Genomic DNA, 23,983 nt, shown 5'->3' with positions numbered 1-23,983 from the left:
AAGACAGGGATGCTCTCTCTCACCACTCCTATTCAACATAGTGTTGGAAATTCTGGCCAGGGCAATCAGGCAGGAGAAAGAAATAAAGGGCATTCAATTAGGAAAAGAGGAAGTCAAATTGTCCCTGTTTGCAGATGATATGATTGTATATCTAGAAAACTCCATCATCTCAGCTCAAAGTCTCCTTAAGCTGATAAGCAACTTCAGTAAAGTCTCAGGATACGAAATCAATGTGCAAAAATCACAAGCATTCTTATACACCAATAGCAGACAAATAGAGAGCCAAATCATGAGTGAATTCCCATTCATAATTGCTTCAAAGAGAATAAAATACCTAGGAATCCAACTTACAAGGGATGTGAAGGACCTCTTCAAGGACAGCTGCAAACCACTGCTCAGTGAAATAAAAGAGGATACAAACAAATGGAAGAACATTCCATGCTCATGGGTAGGGAGAATCAATATCGTGAAAATGGCCATACTTCCCAAGGTAATTTATACATTCAATGCCATCCCCATCAAGCTACCAATGACTTTCTTCGCAGAGGTGGAAAAAACTACTTTAAAGTTCACATGGAACCAAAAAAGAGCCCGCATTGCCAAGTCAATCCTAAGCCAAAAGAACAAAGCTGGAGGCATCACACTATCTGACTTCAAACTATACTACAAGTCTACAGTACCCAAAACAGCATGGTACTGGTACCAAAACAGAGATATACACCAATGGAACAGAACAGAGCCCTCAGAAATAATGTCACATATCTACAACTATCTGATCTTTGACAAACCTGAGAAAAACAAGAAATGGAGAAAGGATTCCCTGTTTAATAAATGGTGCTGGGAAAACTGGCTAGCCATATGTAGAAAGCTGAAACTGGATCCCTTCCTTACACCTTATACAAAAATTAATTCAAGATGGATTAAGATTTAAATGTTAGACCTAAAACCATAAAAACCCTAGAAGAAAACCTATGCAATAGCATTCAGGACATAGATATGGGCAAGGACTTCATGTCTAAAACACCAAAAGCAATGGCAACAAAAGACAAAATTGACAATTGGGATCTCATTAAACTAAAGAGCTTCTGCACAACAAAAGAAACTACCATCAGAGTGAACAGGCAACCTACAGAATGGGAGAAAATTTTTGCAATCTACTCACCTGACAAAGGGCTAATATTCAGAATCTACAATGAACTCCAAAAAATTTACAAGAAAAAAACAAACAACCCCATCAACAAGTGGGTGAAGGATATGAACAGACACTTCTCAAAAGAAGACATTTATGCAGCCAAAAGACACACGAAAAAATGCTCATCATCACTGGCCATCAGAGAAATGCAAATCAAAACCACAATGAGATACCATCTCACACCAGTTAGAATGGCAATCATTAAAAAGTCAGGAAACAACAGGTGCTGGAGAGGATGTGGAGAAATAGGAGCACTTTTACACTGTTGGTGGGACTGTAAACTACTTCAACCATGTGGAAGTCAGAGTGGCGATTCCTCAGGGATCTAGAACTAGAAATACCATTTGACCCAGCCATCCCATTACTGGGTATATACCCAAAGGATTATAAATTATGCTGCTGTAAAGACACATGCACACATATGTTTATTGCGGCACTATTCACAATAACAAAGACTTGGAACCAACCAAAATGTCCAACAATGATAGACTGGATTAAGAAAATGTGGCACATATACACCATGGAATACTATTCAGTCATAAAAAATGATGAGTTCATGTCCTTTGTAGGGACATGGATGAAGCTGGAAACCATCATTCTCAGCAAACTATCACAAGGACAAAAAACCAAACACCCTTGTTCTCACTCATAGGTGGGAATTGAACAATGAGAACACATGGACACAGCAAGGGGAACATCACACACCGGGGCCTGTTGTGGGGTGGGGGGATGAGGGAGGGATAGCATTAGGAGATATACCTAATGTTAAATGACAAGTTAATAGGTGCAGCACACCAACATGGCACATGTATACATATGTAACAAACCTGCACGTTGTGCACATGTACCCTAAAACTTAAAGTATAAAAAAAAAAGAAAGAAACTGAGCTCACACAATATGGCAAAAAAAAAAAAAATTTGCCAACTTAAACAAAATAGAAAAAGGTATTGAAATACGCAAATCCCTAAAAGTGATTTCAGAAGAAATAGTCAAATGACTTAATATCTGTTAGAGAAATTGAGTTTATTGTTTAAAAACCTTGCCAAAAATAAACTATAAGTTTAGATGGTTTTACAAAAACATAATAATAATAATGAAATAATGTCTTTTGCATCAACTTGGATGAAACTGGAAGCCATTATTGTTAATGAAGTAACTCGGGAATAAAAAACCAAATACTGTATGTTTTCATTATAAGTGGGGGCTAAGGTATGGGCACACAAAGGCATACAGATTGTTACAGTGGACACGGGAGACACAGAAGGGGAAGGGTGGGAGGGGGGTGAGAAATAAAAAAAAAACTACATATTGGGTACAATGTACACTATTTGGCTCATGAGTACAGTAAAATTAGAGTTCACAACTATAGAATTTATCTGAATACAAAAAAACCACTTGTACCCCCCAAGTTACTGAGATAAAAAGTATATATTAAAAATAAACAAGTAAATAAAAATAAAATGTTGTGTTATCTATCTGATGTTCATCACTTTAAGTATACAAATTACCTTGTATATATTATCTCATTTAATCATAATCATAATCATATGAGGAATTATTCTTTTTTTGAGGGTCATTTTCTTTTATTATTATTATTATTATTATTATACTTTAAGTTCTGGGATCCATGCGCAGAATGTACAGGTTTGTTACATAGGTATACACGTGCCATGGTGGTTTGCTGCACCCATCAACCCGTCATCTACATTAGGTATTTCTCCTAATGCTATCCCTCCCCTAGGCCCCCACCCCCCAACAGGCCCCGGTGTGTGATGTTCCCCTCCCTGTGTCCCTGTGTTCTCATTGTTCAACTCCCACTTACAACTAAGAACATGCGGTGTTTGGTTTTCTGTTCCTGTATTAGTTTGCTGAGAATGATGGTTTCCAGCTTCACCCGTGCCTCTGCAAAAGACATGAACTCATCCTTTTTATGGCTGCATAGTATTCCACGGTGTATATGTGCCATATTTTCTTTATCCAGTCTATCATTAATGAGCATTTGGGTTGGTTCCAAGTTTTGCTATTGTCAATAGTGCTGCAATAAACATATGTGTGCATGTGTCTTTATAGGAGAATGATTTATAATCCTTTGGGTATATACCCACTAATGGGATTGCTGGGTCAAATGGTATTTCTGGTTCTAGATCCTTGAGGAATCGCCACAGTGTCTTCCACAATGGTTGAACTAAATTACACTCCCATCAACAATGTAAAAGTGTTCCTATTTCTCCACATCCTCTCCAGCATCTGTTGTTTCCTGACTTTTTAATGATCACCATTGTAACTGGTGTGAGATGGTATCTCATTGTGGTTTTGATTTGCATTTCTCGGATGACCACTGATGATAAGCTTTTTCTCATATGTTTGCTGACTGCATAAATGTCTTCCTTTGAGAAGTGTCTGTTCATAACCTTCGCCCACTTTTTGATGGGATTGTTTGTTTGTTTTTTCCTTGTAAATCTGTTTAACTTTTTTGTAGATTCTGGATATTAGCCCTTTGTAAGATGGATAGAGTGCAAAAATTTTCTCCCATTCTGTAGGTTGCCTGTTCACTCTGAGGATAGTTTCTTTTGCTGTACAGAAGCTCTTTAGTTTAATTAGATCCCATTTGTCAATTTTGGCTTTTTTTGTCATTGCTTTTGGTGTTTTAATCATGAAGTCTTTCCCCATGCCTATGTCCTGAATGTTATTGCCTAGGTTGTCTTCTAAGGTTTTTAGGATTTTAGGTCTTCCATTTAAGTCTTTAATCCATCTTGAGTTAATTTTTGTATAAGGTGTATGGAAGGATTCCAGTTTCAGTTTTCTGCATGTGGCTAGCCAGTTTTCCCAACACCATTTATTAAATATGGAATCCTTTCCCCATTGCTTGTTTTTGTCAGGTTTGTCAAAGATCAGATGGTTGTAGACGTGTAGTGTTATTATTGAGGCCTCTGTTCTGTTTCATTAGTCTATATATCTGTTTTGGTACCAGTACCATGCTGTTTTGGTTACTATAGCCTTGTAGTATAGTTTGAAGTCAGGTAGCATGATGCCTCCAGCTTTGCTCTTTTTGCTTAGGATTGTCTTGGCTACATGGGCACTTTTTTTGTTCTATATGAAATTTGAAGTAGTTTTTCTAATTCTCTGAAGAAAGTCAATGGTAGCTTAATGGGGATAGCATTGCATCTATAAATTACTTTGCGCAGCATGGCCATTTTCACAATATTGGTTCTTCCAATCCATGAGCATGGAATATTTTTCCATTTGTTTGTGTCGTCTTGTATTTTCTTGAGCAGTGGTTTCTAGTTCTCCTTAAAGAGGCCCTTCACATCCCTTGTAAGTTGTATTCCTAGGTATTTTATTCCCTTTGTAGCAATTGTGAATGGGAGTTCACTCATGATTTGTCTCTCTGTCTATTATTGATATATAGGAATGTTTGTGATTTTTGCACATCAATTTTGTATCCTGAGACTTTGCTGAAGTTGTTTATCCGCTTAAGGAGATTTTGGGCTGAGACGATGGGGTTTTCTAAATATATAATCATGTCATCTGCAAAGAGAGACAATTTGACTTCCCATATGAGGAATTATTCTTATCCCCAACCTAAATTTTTTAAACTGATGCTCTGAGAGTTTTAGAAGATTACCCTAGCTTACACAACTACAAAGTAACAGAATAAGCTTAAAATAAATAAATAACTTTTCTGCTCACCTCATTTTTCAACTATTCATCTTCATTGTTCTGTTCTTCCAGGGAAAATTTCTGTGTCCCACAGCTTAAGTCCAGTGGACAAGTTGACTAAGGGAACTGTTTCAACCAAGTGATCCAAAGTAAGGTAGCCAAAGACCAGGTCCTGGAGAAATAGAAACACGGCCCAAAAAAATGCTGCCAAACATAGCATTTCAAGAGACAGAAGAGAACAAAAATGGGAAGATTGGCATGAAAGTTAGTAGGACAAAAGAAGGTGCAAAGAGGAGATCACAGAGGCCAATGAGTGCCTAGAGCTCACCATTTATGCAGCACCTGGAGGAGAGCAGCTAGACTTGAGAGGTCTGGTTTTCAGTTTGGGAAGATAAAGCTTTTAAAGTCCTGTATAGTCCTGAACATGATTTCCAAGTTTTTCTTAGAATTCTGATATCCTGTAGACTTAGATTAAAAGAATATAGATTTGTAGAGAAGAGTTTAAACATTAATTATATTATTTCATGTGCCTAATTTTGAGATGGAATAAGAAAAAAACACACATATAAAATATAAAGTTCTCCAGTTTATTTAATGGAATGAGATTTGGGGCAGAATTTCATAATTGGAGTATCCAACATATTACTCTTATCTGCCTTTGAAGATCTGGGTAGAACAAGTTTAATATAGACTCTGCATCTCTTTTCAGCCTCTACTTTTATCAGTAGCATTTTAACTTTCACTATGTTTCACATTCAAATTCCTGAGAGAGAGCATTTCCTAGGCTCAGTTGATCACCATCATCTTTGCTGGATAGAACTCTGGGTTTGACCACCTCAAGGTCCACTGCTCAGGCCATCCATGGACTTGCCTTGGATCAGATGCCTGTTCTTCCTGCATCCTATGGCAAGGTGTTTGTGCTATGTTGTGTAGATCATGGCCACTTATTCATTTTTGAAGATGATTTATAGATGAAGGGTTGTTCTACTAGGCAAAAGTTTTTCTATCTATCAAGTTATTCCCTTAAAGGTCTCTATTTTCCTCAAAATTTTTAAGTATGTTTTGTAAGTATAATTCCTTCCTTCTGATGAAGGTGGAATGCCTTATTTAAACTTGAAAATAATTAAACTCTATGATTTGAAAATTCATTCATACTAACATGCTGAGGGTAAGGTCAACATGAATTTATAAACAAACTTCCTTTAGGTTGCTTTGTAGTTGTTTGAGTATAATTTTAAAAGTCTAGTTCTTCATGTATGTGTTTTTCATAGTTACCCAACTGAAAAATCCTTGAAGGCAAGAACCATAGTTTATTACTTTTTATCCCTGACAACATCTAAGATGCTGTGCTCGTCAAGCGTGTTAAATGTTGCTGAGTGACTGAGCCTACGGATCTCTAGGAGTTATTGAATAGTTGACTTTAACTGCTTTGTTAGCTGTCTGTATCCACAGAAATTTGAGATCAGCTGTTTGGAATAATGCACACAAAAGCCTTCTGTTCTGTAATGTCAGTAAAAGATATTTAAATTAGAGCAATGGAGTCCTAAATGTGAACCATAAAGGAAATTATTTCCACTCTATGTGAGAAGAACTGGATGCTCCTTATTTCTTTGCAAACTAATAAAATTCTCATTAATAGGCCAATAGCATGTAATTGAAATTTTCTAGGCCCAGAGCAAATTTTGTTTAAAGTGACCCAACTGTTTCTTAAGGTTCCAAAGCAAAGGGAAAAGTCAAGCAGGCAAGGATTTTTTTTTTCATGTCAGGGCTTCCTCCTTTAAATGAATCTTGCCCATCTTTGAGATTTTGTTTTTAAGAAACATGCCAGCCCAGTAGAAAGTTATTTTAGGCATTTAGCAAACCCACCAATCTAGGTGACTGTGAATAGTAAAATAAACTTGGTTTACTGCAGTGGCTCTCTTGGGCCTTAGCAGCAAGTACATATGCCTTGTAATCAAGCTTTATATACCATTAAGAGTAATCTGAAACTTGGTATACATAACATTTTAACTGCAAAGTCACATAAATTTTTAAAAAACACTCCATTTGCTTTAGGTAAAATCTTTGCTTGGAGACTCCCTCCCTCTTTTGTTTTTTTCTTTTCTTCTTCTTCTTTTTTTTTTTTTTTTGAGACGGAGTTTTGCTCTCGTTGCCCAGGCTGGAGTGCAATGGTACGATCTCAGCTCACCACAGCCTCCGCCTCCTGGGTTCAAGCGTTTCTCCTGCCTCAGCCTCCCGAGCACCCAGGATTACAGGTATGCACCACCATGCCCGGCTAATTTTGTATTTTTAGTACAGACGGGGTTTCTCCATGTTGGTCAGGCTGGTCTCGAACTCCCAACCTCAGGTGATCCACCCGCCTCGGCCTCCCAAAGTGCTGGGATTACAGGCATGAACCACCAAACCCGGCCTTCTTTTTTTTTTTTTTTGAGTCAGACTATTTCTCTGTCGCCAGGCTGGAGTGCAGTGGTGCAATCTTGGCTCACTGCAACCTCTGCCTCCTGGGTTCAAGCAATTCTCCTGCCTCAGCCTCCTGAGTAGCTGGGGCTATAGGCACGCACCACCAAGCCCAGCTAACTTTTGTATTTTTAGTAGAGACGGGTTTCACCATGTTGGACAGGATGGTCTCAATCTCTTGACCTCATGATCTGCCCGCCTCAGCCTCCCAAAGTGCTTGGATTACAGGCATGAGCCACTGAGCACGGTAAACTCCCACCGTCTTAAAGAGCTGTAGAGATTTTTAGTTTTCTCTCTTACTGAAGAGATTAATAATAGGTTTCTTCATTGTCACCAGAAAAAAAAAAATCTCATTTGTCTTTAACCTCAATATATCAGGGTTATCTCAATATTACAATCAGCAAATAACATGAGTTTTTGTTTTTCAATGTGGAATCAGTTCTCGCATGCAAAAGTTGGATAACAAATTAGATTTTTCTTTTAATCTGCCACATTGGGAAGGGTCTTCTTGCCAAAAATCTTCAGCTCGGAAGTCATGACCTCTCCTCACTACTCTTTATAACTCCACTCACAAACAAATACAAAAGGAAGAAAAATTATACATAATATATAAAGGTACAAACTACAACCCTATGCAGGAAGCTACCTGTTGAAGCATTTTTAACTCTTCCCCAATTGTAATATGCCATGCCTCAAATGTACAATACTACACACTAGATCATAAGTTCCTCCAAGTCAAGATTTTATCCATATTTTATAATTTCACTGCTTCACAGTACCCTTTCCTCTGGCAATTAGAGTCTCATATACTGTAGGCACTGTTTAACAAATACCTTGAAATGCCATTAAATGGAAACAAACTAAGCTACCAGTACAGTTATTCGCTTTGATACAGGAAGAGAAAGAGAAGAAGTTTATCCTAGCATTCCCCAAACCATGTACCCACATATTCTACAGAAAATAAATAAATAAATAAATGGTAGTCAAATTGATTTTGGATACTTCATACACTAGATTACATTCCTGGAAATTCACAATGTGCATAAGCATATTGTAGCTACAAGGTATGTTGTCAAAAAAAATTGTTTAAGTTGATTTAGGACATAATTTCCCATTAGTATTTGACAACAGAGCCCTTTGCAGAGGATACACACCTACTAACATTTAGAGGAACATCAGTGTCCTGTGGAGCAAGATTTGAGAAATCTTTAGTTGTCCAGTATTTTTGTTGCTTTTTTGTCTGTTTGTCCAGCTTTTTGTTCTTCTCCAAAGGAAAGACTACCCATTCCCCTTAGGAGGATAGAAGAAAGAGGAAAGTAGCATTCCCTTAGGATAGTAGTTACTTACAGATATGGGAAAATTAGGAACAATTAGGAATCAGTTCTCTTGTCCTGCAATTAACTGAGAAAACAAAACATAAAATGTATTCTAAAATACTAACTTATCCATGCTAAGAAAAGTATAATGGTAAAAGCAAGAGAAATGGGAGATATGGGAAAGACCCTTTTCTGCCAGGCCTATGAAACAGTGAACTTCAGAAGACTGTCTGTGGGTTTGCAAAAGAATAGAACGGCATTTGTATCAAACCCAAACTCTCTGAACATTCTGCACACTTCAGAGCAGGACAGGCTGAACATAAGGTTTTTGTCACCTAACACTGGGGATTTGGGCCTAACTCTAATTCATCAACTGCAGAAATCCAGTCCAACCGAGATATTCAGTTTCTTTTCAGTTGGTATTGATGTGTGGTAACAATATCTCAGTCCTTGACAAAGAACAGCCAGCCTGCACCACAGACAGAAAAAAAAAAAAAAAAAAAAAAAACTCAAAAGCATTACAATTGGAAAGATAGATTAGAAAAATTTACTCACCAAATCTCCAACTACTGCATTAGACTTGTCAGCATGTTACACAGGGGTTTAATTTAGTAGCTTTCCGACATATGGGCAACAATATGGTCTCAGTGGTTCCCTGCTACTGGCGTGGTTGAGGAGGAGGGAGAAATAATTAGACATCTGACAGGCAAGTGACTGCTCTCACAGCTCAGCCAAGGCTTTTGCAGAGCACACTAGATATTTTTAAACCACATTTCCGTGACAGCTAAAGAAATTGTACATTTTCTTCACGTAAATAGGTATTAGTTTCTTTCAGAGTCTGATGATAAAGAAATGAAAGAAGTCATAAACCCTCTAATCCTAATTCTTTCATCTAGTTTCCCATGAAAAATTATGTATGCTGCATATAATATATGAAGGGGGATACTACGAAGCAAAAACATTGATATTATTTTTATTCTTCTCTTCTTGAGAATGCATCCACCTAAACAATTTGTTTTTAGTTGTCAGAATCTTCATTTTGCACATTAAATGAGGGGGAACCTGAGGATTCTGTATAAAGCCGGCAAAACAAATCATAGACATATACATGGGTGAGAGCTAGAGCAACAAATGCTTTCCTCCATCAACCTGTAAACTGTTCAAGGCCAGTGAATCTATCTTGATTCCCACCCACAACACCACCACAACCATGAGCAACCAGAATAGGACTGGGTATCCAGCAGCATTTCATAAATATCGACCAATGTATTGATATTTATTCATTATGTAGGCTCTCTGTGCATGAATTCTGGGAAAGTGCAACAAAATCACTCAGGATAAAAGTCTAATGCTTTTTCTTTGAGCTCGTCTGTCTTATCACACACAACAGGACCTGACAGAAGGTCAGCCCACAGGAAGGTTTAATTTGTCTGAGATCAGACACTTTTTTGAAAGTAAATAGGATTTTCTCCAAAGAAACCCACATATAAATTTCAACCAAGTTTTACTTCTTATGCTTTCTTTGTAAAACAAAGAGTGTGTACTTTTACGATCTAAAGAAGAAAATTTCTTGTCTAATGCTCATCTCTTGTTCTTATCCAGTGTTGCAGACAATGTTTGTGACTCCACAAAATTCATATGTTGTAGTCCTAAGCCCCCAATGTGATGGTGTTGGGACATGGGGCCTTTTGGAGTTAATTAGGTTTAGATGAGGCCATGAAGATGATGCCCTCTTGATGAAACTGGTGCCCTAATAAGATGAGATACCATCGAGGTTGCTCTCTCTCTCTCTTTCTCTCTACCATGTGAGGACACAGAAAGAAATCTCCTTCTCCAAGTCAGGAAGAAGGCCCTCACAAGAACTCAATCATGCTGACACCCTGATCTTGGACTTCCAGCCTTCGGAATTGTGAAAAAATAAATGACTGTTGTTTAAACCACTCGGTCTATGGTATTTTGTTATAGAAGCCCAAGAAGACTGATATCCAGGAAAACAATGACTAAGAAACATGATTAAGAATACAGCTAGTGGTCCAAGGGAAAGGACAGCAGTGATACATATATTCATAATACCAGGATATGTTTTCCCCTGACTCTTTTAAAAGATGAGAAGTTATAGGAATTCTGAGAGTCAGAAAAGGTAAGTCTGCCTTTGTCAGAGGTCACTTTGTTAGAGGGTTAGGCATTACTGCTATGAAAATTTAAAAGTTCTGTGACAGGACACAAAACTTAGTGAGCTTGAAGGTGAACAAACAGGTCTCCAACAGCAACCCTATGAGACAGATACAGACCAACAACATTTGAAAACTCAGATCTTTGATGCAATTTCCAGACTCATTGGAATTTAGTTCTATGGATTCAAAAGTCCAATCAACTCTCAGGCTTCTATTTTCATAAAGAGGAATGAGAGGTCGTTATTATCTAAAACCCCCTAAAGCATTTTACTTGTCTCTATAAATTTGCTCTAGAGAATGGCATTGTATTAGTCAGGTTCTTCAGAAAAACAGAACGAATAAGAGATAGACATAGACACACACACCCACACATACATGATAGACAGATAGATAGATATAGAGATATACAGAGAGAGAAATTTATTTCAATGAATTGATTCATGTGAGGTGGAGTTTGGCAAGTCCAAAACATATAAGGTACGCTAGGAATTTAGGTAAGAGTTGCTGTTGGCCGGGCACGGTGGCTCACTCCTGTAATCCCAGCACTTTGGGAGGCGAGGCGGATGGATCACGAGGTCAGGAGATCGAGACGATCCTGGCTAACACGGTGAAACCCCGTCTCTACTAAATATACAAAAAATTAGCCGGGCGCGATGGCGGGCGCCTGTATTCCCAGCTACTCGGGAGGCTGAGGCAGGAGAATGGCGTGAACCCAGTGGGCGGAGCTTGCAGTGAGCTGAGATCGCGCCACTGCACTCCAGCCTGGGTGACAGAGCGAGACTCCGTCTCAAAAAAAAAAAAAAAAAAAGAGTTGATGCTGCAGTCTTGAGTTTGAAATCTTCAGGCTATCAGGTTAAAAACTCAGGCAGCAATTCTGAATTGCATGCTTGAGAACTTCTTCTTTGGGAAACCTCAGTCTTTGCTCTTAAGACCTTCAACTGATTAGATAAGGCTTATCTACATTACGGGAGAATAATCTGCTTTACTCAAAGTCTACTGATTATAAATGTTAATCATGTCTAAAACATACCTCCACAGTAATGTATAAACTAGTGTTTAACCAAACAACTGGGCGCCATAGACTTGTCAAGTTGTCACCAAAAATTAACCACCAAAACATAAAATGGGAAGTGAAAGGGACAACAAACCTCCAAATTCTTCAAATTTCTCATCTGTCCTCACTAGCAAATGTTCTTAGGTATATACTTTATTCATTATCTCATTAAACAGCTCCCTGAATGCAAGATGGTCTATTATGTCCAAATGAGTACCTTGCATTTTTACTAATGTCAACACAGCAATTGCAAGATCAGTTATCTGGGATGCAAGAAATAAACATGGTCAGCCCTGAACCATGAGACATCAAAAGAGTAAACTAAGGCAAAGCTTATAAAAAAGATGTGCTCATGAAGGATGTGATACTGCTTCTATGTTCAGCATTTTAGCCTCATGGGCTAGCCTTATGCCCTGGCACATGGTTGGTGCCCCAAAAATATTTGTTAAATGAATACATGAATGAATTAGGGAGGTAAAAGAGCTTAACATTATTGAAGATGCTTCCTACTTTGAGATAACATTGTTTACCTGTTTTTTGCACATCATTACAAAATAGATATTAATAATTACTTCTGCAAATTCAACAAGTTGTGAGTTTACTGTAACTACTCTTAGTTCTTAAGTCAGTAAGATATCTTGGGTATTTTGGACCTATAAACTTTCATCCATGTTGTAGCATTCAGAATTCAGTAAGCATTTTTTTTTTTTTTTTTTTTTTTGAGAGGCAGGGTCTTGCTCTCTCGCATAGGCTGGAGTGCAATGGCACAATGTCAGCTCACTGCAACCTCCACCTCCCAGGTTCAAGCGATTCTCCTGCCTCAGCCTCCTGAGTAGCTGGGATTACAGGGGCATGCCACCACGCCTGATTAATTTTTTGTATTTTTAGTAGAGACGGGGTTCCACTGTGTTAGCCAAAATGGTCTTGATCTCCTGAACTCATGATCCACCTGCCTTGGCCTCCCAAGTGCTGCAGTTATAGGCATGAGCCACCATGCCCGGCCACAGTAAGCATTTTTACTAGCTGTGTGACCTAGGCTAATAACAATAATAGCTAACATTTATTGGGCATTTACATAATGCCTAGTCCTGCTCTTATTGTCTATATTTGCCCATTATATTCTCATGGTATGAGTTTTATTATTAGCACCCTTTTTACAGAGAGGAAACTAAAGCAAAAGTAACTTCAAGAACTCACTCAAAAGTCAGACTAGTAGTTAATGGCTGGGTTGGAACTAGAGCTCAAACAGTTCCACACATCTCTATACTGCAAGTTACTTAACTACTCAGAGCCTCACTGTGCTCACTTACAAAAGGAAGATAATAGTTCTCCCCCTGCAAAATTCTCTTAGGATTGGAGCCAATTTATATAATGCTCATAGCACTGTCCTGGCTCATGGCTTATAGACCCTGGGTAAATGACAGTAGTCAATAGGACATGTATCATCTCTACAACTTGATTCATAAAATTAATAATAAAACTCATACTAATAAATGTGAATTCAGGAATGCAGATTAATCACTTTAAATTGTGTCATGCCACTCACTGTTAACACAAAATTTTAGACTAAAATTTTAGAATGTGGTAAATTAAAGATGACCACAAATTCTTTGCTACTCCTCTTATTGAAGGCTAGATTTTAATTTCCCTCTCCATGAATCTGGACTAGCCTTAGTGAGTGGCTTGGCCAATAAGAATGTGACAGAACTGACAGTTCACAAATTCTAAGACGAGGTCATGGGAGCCTTCCAGCTTCTTCCTGGGCCACTTGGAATACTTGCCCTAGGAGCCCTGAGCTTCATGGAAGGAGTCTACTTACCTTGAGTCGCTAAGGTCAGTCTTCCAGCCATGTCCATCAAAGTGGCAGACATGTAAGTAAAGCCATCTTGGGCTCTGCAGATCAGCCCATCTGCCAGCTGAATACCACCAAGAGACCTCCATTAATGCCACAGGAAATAGTTGTACCACCCAAATTTCCAAATTTCTGATCAAGAAAATAGTGAGCTGTAATAAATAGTTGTTTTAAGCCTTTTGCTCTGTGGGCAGTTTGTTAAATAGTTTGTTAACTGGACAAAAAGAATTCAAAAAAATACCAAATGAGAAATTGCACAGCACTATGTCCTGAGAGAAAATACTTTTTGGATTCAGCTTCCAATCAATAAAATCCACATGAATGATGCTGAGCAGACAGCCCTCATTGGAGAGGAATATTTTTACTGGAAAAACATTTATCAGGATTAGTAAGTAGGAGTAGAATATGTGATGTCAGTGAATTCAAGGTAATGCTTACAAGTCACCAAGACCAGCTGAAGATAAGAGAGCAGAAACTACATAATGTTTTCATTCTTGCTATCACAAAATTGAAACAAATCTAGAACAGAATTTGATCAGATGGAGGGTCCAACTGAGACTAAAATACATGTGTCATGTAGATTCCCTTACAAACAGGACTATCTCAGGTTAATAATATTGCAATGAGAGAGTCAGATGTAAAGTAAGTTTACAGTAGTTAAAGGCGAGATGCATGTGTCTTGCAAATGCCACTTTAAGAGGGTCTGGAGAGGAATGAGGGAGCCATTTCTGCAGCAGACAGAAGATGAGATCCTGAGTATAAAAATCACTACAATCCAATACCAAATTATATATAATTTCCCAGCAGTATGAAACCTAAAGAAATTCTGACCCACAAATACTGATTTCTTTATTTGCTAAAAAAAAAAAAAATACATTTGAGGAGATATACAGCTTCAGAAATGTCTTTTGCTGGTTTTAGAAATAAGAGACTAAAGATTTTGTTATAAATAAAGACAGTCAAAAATCCTTGAGTCACAAACCATTTTCTAAACTATCTTAGAAAAAATATTCTCTTCCCTACGTAATGTAAACATAGGCTTAAGACAGCCCCAAAGAGAAAGTAAAAGATTTTATTTTTAAATGTTAATTAATAAAATACCAAGTTTTATCTTGTAACTTAAAAATAAATACATAATAAGCTGCCGGTAACTCTATTTTCTTTTGGATCTATAATCAATTACTGGACAGTTGCCAGTAATTTTGTTTTCTTTTGGATCTGTAATCAATTACACCGTCATGTATTGTCTCATCTTTCTTTTCTCTCCAAGAAGGTTTTGAACTCTGAATCTCAGGAACTCTTTCCATTTGAATTCTCACTACAGAAAGTCTAATTCTAGACATACAAGATAATCTGTTTTTCTTAATCTAAAATTCACACAAATTGATATAGTACATGTTTGATAATGTGTGACATATCTTTTTCCCAGAATTATGCAAGATTTTTAGAAAGTTGATGATGGATTATTTATACAACTATTTAAAACAATTCATTATTGTTTATTAATAATAAATTTATATAAACATGATTAACATTTTTATCCTAGGAAGCAAAAGTTTCAAAGATCAAATAGTGAGTATTACTAATTCCAAGCACATATGCTAAGACCATTTAAAACACTAACAGAAATATTAGAAATATTTTCTATTAATATTTTTGAATATTAATAGGAAATGTTTTATTAACAAAATAAATGGAAAAAAATAGGAGGTGAGATATTTAGGCTGTAATCACTAATGAAAGAATGAGAAATAAATTACAGTCTACTAAATTTCCACAGAGATGTCCAGGAAAAAAAATGTGATGTATATACCACTATGATTTCTAGAAGGCTTATCCTTTTTTTTTTTTTTTAGAGAGGAGGTCTGGCTTTGTCAACCGGGCTGGGATGCAATAGCATAATCGTAGCTCACTGTAACCTTGAACGCTTGGGTTCAAGCAATCCTCTGGTCTCAGTCTCCCAAATAGCTAAGTCTATAGGCATATGCCACCATGCCCAGCTGATCTTTTTAATTTTTTTGTAGCAACAGAGTCTCATTATGTTGCTCAGGCTGGTCTCAACTCCTGGCCTCAAGTAGTCCTCCTGCCTCGACCTCCTAAAGTGTTGGAATTACAGGCATGAGCTAATGCTACTGGCCTCCATAAGCATTTTAAATGATTGAATTTGAACTTCCAAGTTAACATGTAGACAGATTTTACATGATAAGATAAACCTGAGGGCCAGGTGCTGTGGCTCATGCCTGTAATTCCAGCACTTTGGGAGGCTAAGGCAGGCAGATCACTTGAGGTCAAGAGTTCAAGGCCAGCCTGGTCAACTAAAACTATAAAAATTGGGCATGGTGGTGAGCACTTGTAATCCAAGCTACTCGGGAGGCTGGGGCAAGAGAATCCTTACACCCTGGAGGCGGAAGTTGCTGTAGCCGAGAACACGCACCACTGTAATCCAGCCTGGGCAACACAGCAAGACAGCAAGACTCCGTCTCAAAAAAAAAAAAAAAAAAAAAAGATAAACATGATAGGCTCCTTCTTAACTTTCTAATAAAATACTTAGGCTTCTTCTTAACTTTCTTTTTTTTATTATTAGACTTTAAGTTTTAGGGTACATGTGCACAATGTGCAGGTTAGTTACATACATATACATGTGCCATGTTGGTGTGCTGCACCCATTAACTCTTCATTTAACATTAGGTATATCTCCTAATGCTCTCCCCTCCCCCCTCCCCCCACCCCACAACAGGCCCCGGTGTGTAATGTTCCCCTTCCTGTGTCCATGTGTTCTCATTGTTCAATTCCCACCTATGAGTGAGAACATGCGGTGTTTGGATTTTTGCCCTTGCAATAGTTTGCTGAGAATGATGGTTTCCAGCTTCATCCATGTCCCTACAAAGGATATGAACTCATCCTTTTTTATGGCTGCATAGTATTCCATGGTGTCTATGTGCCACATTTTCTTAATCCAGTCTATCATTGTTGGACATTTGGGTTGGTTCCAAGTCTTTGAAATTCTGAATAGTGCCACAATAAACATATGTGTGCATGTGTCTTTATAGCAGCATGATTTAGAATCCTTTGGGTATATACTCAGTAATGGGATTGCTGGGTCAAATGGTATTTCTAGTTCTAGATCCCTGAGGAATCACCACACTGACTAATACTCTTGAAGACAGACAAAATTGTGAAAGCTTGGACTTGGAACCCCATGGTAAAAGAAGATCTTGGAAAATACTGGTGGAATTTCTACTAAATGCATCACCATTCAAGATAGAGTGGTATGTTATTGAACCACATATTACATACTCTATCCTCTGAAATAGAAGAGAAAGCCACCCCATCCTCAGCAAATCATTATTGAAAAGCAAGAAGCATAAAAGAAAAACAAAGAGAAAACAATGAGAGGAGATAATATATTTGGAAGGTAAAGGACAAAAAGCCAGCTAAGATTATAAATGTTTCAATAAAAGAAAAAAAATTCTTTCTCTGATGTGCTGAACAAAAAGAAAAAATAAATAAAACAGAGTAATAATCAACTAGAAGAAAATATCTTAGCTGCAAAAATATCTGAGCCTATGTGTTCTTAGAGTCCTATGAAAAAATAGAATAAAATGCAAAAATTACATATATAGATGTATACATATGTATGTATGTAGGCTTGCAACATTTCATAATTTCAAAGATAAAGAAAACACTATAAGCATCTGGAGAAAATATCTGACTTCGTATTTTTCCCCATCCCTAAATACACCAGAAGACAGTAAAGCAATCAAAGTCTACTGAATGATGAGATAAAACAGCTGTGACCTAGGAACTACATATTCATCCAAGTAATTATTTATTTGTGACAACAACAGAAAGACTTCCTCAAATAAGTAAATAGCAAAAGACAAACTACTGAAGAATGCTCTTTTTTAAATTTGAAGATAATCACAAGCATTTTGTTTAAATAATACATCTGCAGAGTAATTTTATTTTACCTCAACCATGTGAAATAAAAAGGAAATACCAAGGCTTTCCTTCAGACTTCCAGAGTTCACAAATCATACACCTTTTATGAGAAAGTGATGTCTACATCCAAATTATTTCCAATGAAACACATTATTAAGTAAAACAACCAATTAAAGTTAGTTACTAACTTTTCAGGGGTTAAACATTACTGTCAAAGTATTTCGCAACAATCTCTGAAGACCAGGTATCTTATAAGAATTTTTATCTAGCATTAATATAAGCAAGAATAGTTTCTATTTTTCTCTGCAAGTGCAGGGAAAGAGGAACAAACATTTCCTTCTTATATTGAAGTGCCTTCCTTTATTCATGATTGGAAGGCTAAGACTTAAGTACTGGGATTTCATCAGTTAACACTGGCAGAAAAAGAAGCAGACCTGAGAATCTCAAAGCATATAATAAGAGAAAAAAAAAAAAAGGAGAAAACAGCATTATATACATCAGAATGTGGGAGGTACAAAGCTTTGCATCTAAACTTTCCCAAACATGCTAACAATAGATTGATTCCAACTGTCTGAAGAATAAGTCAATATGGGCCACATGTGCTGTTTCATGACTGTAATTCTAGCACTCTAGGAGGCTGAGGTGAGAGGACTGCTTGAGCCCAGGAGTTCCAGTCCAGCCTGGGCAAACAGCAAGACCCTGTATCTACCAAAAAAGTTTAAAACATTAGCCAGGCGGGAGGGTGGAGCCAAGATGGCCGAATAGGAACAGCTCCAGTCCACACCTCCCAGTGTGAGTGACGCAGAAGATGAGTGATTTCTGCATTTCCAACTGAGGTACTGGGTTCATCTCACTAGGGAGTGCCAGACAGTGGGTACAGGACAGTGGGTTCAGCACACTGTATGTGAGCCAAAGCAGGGCGAGGCATCGCCTCACCTGGGAAGTGCAAGGGGTCAGGGAATTCCCTTTCCTAGTCAAAGAAAGGGGTGACAGACGGCACCTGGAAAATCGGGTCACTCCCACCCTAATACTGCACTTTTCCAACAGGCTTAACAACCAGCACACCAGGAGATTATATCCCGTACCTGGCTTGGAGGGTCCTATGCCCACGGAGCCTCACTCATTGTTAGCACAGCAGTCTGAGATCAAACTGCAAGGTGGCAGCGAGGCTGGGGGAGGCGCGTCCGCCATTGCCCAGGCTTGAGTAGGTAAACAAAGCAGCCTGGAAGCTTGAACTGGGTGGAGCCCACCACAGCTCAAGGAGGCCTGCCTGCCTCTGTAGGCTCCACCTCTGGGGGCAGGGCACAGACAAACAAAAGGCAGCAATAACCTCTGCAGACTTAAATGTCCCTGTCTGACAGCTTTGAAAAGAGTAGTGGTTCTCCCACCACATAGCTTGAGATCTGAGAATGGGCACACTACCTCCTCAAGTGGGTCCCTGACCCCCGAGGAGCCTAACTGGGAGGCAACCCCCAGTAGAGGCGGGCTGACACCTCACACGGCCGCGTACTCCTCTGAGACAAAACTTCCAGAGGAATGATCAGGCAGCAGCATTTGTGGTTCACCAATATCTGCTGTTCTGCAACCACTGCTGCTGATACCCAGGCAAAGTGGGTCTGGAGTGGACCTCCAGCAAACTCCAACAGATCTGCAGCTGAAGGTCCTGACTGTTAGAAGGAAAACTAACAAACAGAAAGGACATCCACACCAAAACCCCATCTGTATGTCACCATCATCAAAGACCGAAGGTAGATAAAACCACAAAGACGGGGAAAAAACAGAGCAGAAAAACTAGAAACTCTAAAAATCAGAGAGCCTCTCCTCCTCCAAAGGAACGCCAGCTCCTCACCAGCAATGGAACAAAGCTGGACAGAGAACGACTTTGACGAGTTGAAAGAAGAAAGCATCAGAAGATCAAACTACACGGAGCTAAAGAAGGAAGTTCGAACCAATGGCAAAGAAGTTAAAAACTTTGAAACAAAATTAGATGAACGGATAACTAGAATAACCAATGCAGAGAAGTCCCTAAAGGAACTCATGCAGCTGAAAACCATGGTATGAGAACTATGTGACAAATGCACAAGCCTCAGTAACCGATGTGATCAACTGGAAGCAAGGGTATCAGCGATGCAAGATGAAAGTAATGAAATGAAGTGGGAAGAGAAGTTTAGAGAAAATAAAACAAAAAGAAATGGACAAATCCTCCAAGAAATATGGGACTATGTGAAAAGACCAAATCTATGTCTGATGGGTGTACCTGAAAGTGATGGGGAGAATGGAACCAAGTTGGAAAACACTCTGCAGGATATTATCCAGGAGAACTTCCCCAACGTAGCAAGGCAGGCCAACATTCAAATTCAGGAAATACAGAGATGCCACAAAGATACTCCTCAAGAAGAGCAACTCCAAGACACATAATTGTCAGATTCACCAAAGTTGAAATGAAGGAAAAAATGTTAAGGGCAGCCAGAGAGAAAGGTCAGGTTACCCACAAAGGGAAGCCCATTAGACTAACAGTGGATCTCTCAGCAGAAACTCTACAAGCCAGAGGAGAGTGGGGGCCAACATTCAACATTCTTAAAGAAAAGAATTTTCAACCCAGAATTTCATATCCAGCCAAACTAAGCTTCATAAGTGAAGGAGAAATAAAATACCTTACAGACAAGCAAATGCTGAGAGATTTTGTCACCATCAGGCCTGCCCTAGAAGAGCTCCTGAAGGAAGCACTAAACATGGAAAGGAATAACCGGTACCAGCCACTGCAAAAACATGCCAAATTGTAAAGACCATCAAGGCTACGAACAAACTGCATCAATTAACGAGCAAAATAACCAGCTAACCTGATAATGACAGGATCAAATTCACACATAACAATACTAACCTTAAATGTAAATGGGCTAAATGCTCCAATTAAAAGGCACAGACTGGCAAATTGGATGAAGAGTCAAGACCCATCAGTGTGCTGTATTCAGGAAAACCATCTCACGTGCAGAGACACACATAGGCTCAAAATAAAGAGATGGAGGCAGATCTATCAAGCAAATGGAAAACAAAAAAAGGCAGGGGTTGTAATCCTAGTCTCGGTTAAAACAGACATTAAACCAACAAAGATCAAAAGAGACAAAGAAGGCCATCACATAATGGTAAAGGGATCAATTCAACAAGAAGAACTAACTATCCTAAATATATATGCACCCAATACAGGAGCACTCAGATTCATAAAGCAAGTCCTTAGTGACCTACAAACAGACTTAGACTCCCACACAATAATAATGGGAGATTTTAACACCCCACTGTCAACATTAGACGGATCAACAAGACAGAAAGTTAACAAGGATATCCAGGAATTGAACTCAGCTCTGCACCAAGCAGACCTAATAGACATCTACAGAACTCTCCACCCCAAATCAACAGAATATACATTCTTTTCAGCACCACATCACACCTATTCCAAAATTGACCACATAGTTGGAAGTAAAGCACTCCTCAGCAAATGTAAAAGAACAGAAATTATAACAAACTGTCTCTCAGACCACAGTGCAATCAAACTAGAACTCAGGATTAAGAAACTCACTCAAAACCACACCACTACATGGAAACTGAACAACCTGCTCCTGAATGACTACTAGGTACATAACGAAATGAAGGCAGAAATAAAGATGTTCTTTGAAACCAATGAGAACAAAGACACAACATACCAGAATCTCTAGGACACATACAAAGCAGTGTGTAGAGAGAAATTTATAGCACTAAATGCCCACAAGAGAAAACAGGAAAGATCTAAAATTGACACCCTAACATCACAATTAAAAGGACTAGAGAAGCAAGACCAAACACATTCAAAAGCTAGCAGATGGCAAGAAATAACTAAGATCAGAGCAGAACTGAAGGAAATAGAGACACAAAAAACCCTTCAAAAAATCAATGAATCCAGGAGCCGGTTTTTTGAAAAGATCAACCAAATTGATAGACCACTAGCAAGACTAATAAAGAAGAAAAGAGAGAAGAATCAAAGAGACACAATAAAAAATGACAAAGGAGATTTCACCACTGATCCCACAGAAATACAAACTACCATGAGAGAATACTATAAGCACCTCTATGCAAATAAACTAGAAAATCTAGAAGAAATGGATAAATTCCTCGACACATTCACTCTTCCAAGACTAAACCAGGAAGAAGTTGAATCTCTGAATAGACCAACAACAGGCTCTGAAATTGAGGCAATAATTAATAGCTTACCAACCAAAAAGAGTCCAGGACCAGATGGATTCACAGCTGAATTCTATGAGAGGTACAAGGAGGAGCTGGTACCATTCCTTCTGAAACTATTCCAATCAATAGAAAAAAAGGGAATCCTCCCTAACTCATTTTATGAGGCCAGCATCACCCTGATACCATAGCCCGGCAGAGACACAAAAAAAAAAAGAGAATTTTAGACCAATATCCTTGATGAACATTGATGCAAAAATCCCTAATAAAATACTGGCAAACTGAATCCAGCAACACATCAAAAAGTTTATCCACCATGATCAAGTGGGCTTCATCCCTGGGATGCAAGGCTGGTTCAACATACGAAAATCAATAAACATAATCCAGCATATAAACAGAACCAAAGACAAAAACCACATGATTATCTCAATAGATGCAGGAAAGGCCTTTGATAAAATTCAACAACGCTTCATGCTAAAAACTCTCAATAAATCAGGTATTGATAATAAGAGCTATCTATCACAAACCCACAGCCAATAACATACTGAATGGACAAAAACTGGAAGCATTCCCTTTGAAAACTGGCACAAGACAGGGATGCCCTCTCTCACCACTCCTATTCAACATAGTGTTGGAAGTTCTAGCCAGGGCAATCAGGCAGGAGAAGGAAATAAAGGGCATTCAATTAGGAAAAGAGGAAGTCAAATTGTCCCTGTTTGCAGATGACATGATTGTATATCCAGAAAACCCCATCATCTCAGCCCAAAATCTCCTTAAGCTGATAGGCAACTTCAGCAAAGTCTCAGGATACAAAATCAACGTGTAAAAATCACAAGCATTCTTATACACCAATAACAGACAAACAGAGAGCCAAATCATGAGTGAACTCCCATTCACAATTGCTTCAAAGAGAATAAAATACCTAGGAATCCAACTTACAAGGGATGTGAAGGACTCTTCAAGGAGAACTACAAACCACTGCTCAATGAAATAAAGGAGGATACAAACAAATGGAAGAACATTCCATGCTCATGGGTAGGAAGAATCAATATCGTGAAAATGGCCATACTGCCCAAGGTAATTTATACATTCAATGCCATCCCCATCAAGCTACCAATGACTTTCTTCACAGAATTGGAAAAAACTACTTTAAAGTTCATATGGAACCAAAAACGAGCCCGCATTGCCAAGTCAATCCTAAGCCAAAAGAACAAAGATGGAGGCATAACGCTACCTGACTTTGAACTATACTACAATGCTACAGTAACCAAAACAGCACGGTACTGGTACCAAAACAGAGATATAGACCAATGGAACAGAACAGAGCCCTCAGAAACAACGCTGCATATCCACAACTATCTGATCTTTGACAAACCTGAGAAAAATAAGCAATGGGGAAAGGATTCCCTATTTAATAAATGGTGCTGGGAAAACTGGCTAGCCATATATAGAAAGCTGAAACTGGATCCCTTCCTTACACCTTATACAAAAATTAATTCAAGATGGATTAAAGACGTAAATGTTAGACCTAAAACCATAAAAACCCTAGAAGAAAACCTATGCAATACCATTCAGGACATAGGCATGGGCAAGGACTTCATGTCTAAAACACCAAAAGCAATGGCAACAAAAGCCAAAATTGACAATTGGGATCTCATTAAACTAAAGAGCTTCTGCACAGCAAAAGAAACTACCATCACAGTGAACAGGCAACCTACAGAATGGGAGAAAATTTTTGCCACCTACTCATCTGACAAAGGGCTTGTATCCAGAATCTACAATGAACTCCAACAAATTTACAAGAAAAAAACAAACAACCCCATCAAAAAGTGGGCAAAACATATGAACAGACACTTCTCAAGAGAAGACATTTGTGCAGCCAAAAAACACATGAAAAAATGCTCATCATCACTGGCCATCAGAGAAATGCATATCAAAACCACAATGAGATACCATCTCACACCAGTTAGAATGGCAATCATTAAAAAGTCAGGAAACAACAGGTGCTGGAGAGGATGTGGAGAAATAGGAACACTTTTACACTGTTGGTGGGACTGTAAACTAGTTCAGCCATTGTGGAAGTCGGTGTGGTGATTCCTCAGGGATCTAGAACTAGAAGTACC

The 23,983-nt window shown here is 38.4% G+C and overlaps 1 long non-coding RNA gene across 4 annotated transcripts in view; it reads right to left on the bottom strand.

Annotated features, from left to right (window-relative positions):
• The window catches only part of LOC101928842 (uncharacterized), an 88,319-nt gene that overhangs the window by 43,703 nt on the left and 20,633 nt on the right, over window positions 1–23,983 (bottom strand). Inside the window, exons 1-5 of one of the 4 annotated variants that reach the window (XR_001744244.2) lie at window positions 9,182–10,471; window positions 8,465–8,600; window positions 5,182–5,318; window positions 4,884–5,025; window positions 2,198–4,721 (exon numbers count right to left, since the gene is read on the bottom strand). This is a non-coding gene — a long non-coding RNA (uncharacterized LOC101928842). Of the gene's footprint in view, window positions 1–2,197; window positions 4,722–4,883; window positions 5,026–5,181; window positions 5,319–8,464; window positions 8,601–9,181; window positions 10,472–23,983 lie in introns of those variants that run through there. The other 3 variants (XR_001744239.1, XR_002956361.1, XR_001744243.1) reach the window with 3 other exon arrangements.

This window comes from Homo sapiens, chromosome 6 (genome assembly GCF_000001405.40).
Source record: "Homo sapiens chromosome 6, GRCh38.p14 Primary Assembly".
Lineage (NCBI taxonomy): Eukaryota > Metazoa > Chordata > Mammalia > Primates > Hominidae > Homo > Homo sapiens.
The sequence above is the reverse complement of the archived record's forward strand: the minus strand, read 5'-3'. Positions and strand labels throughout refer to the sequence as shown.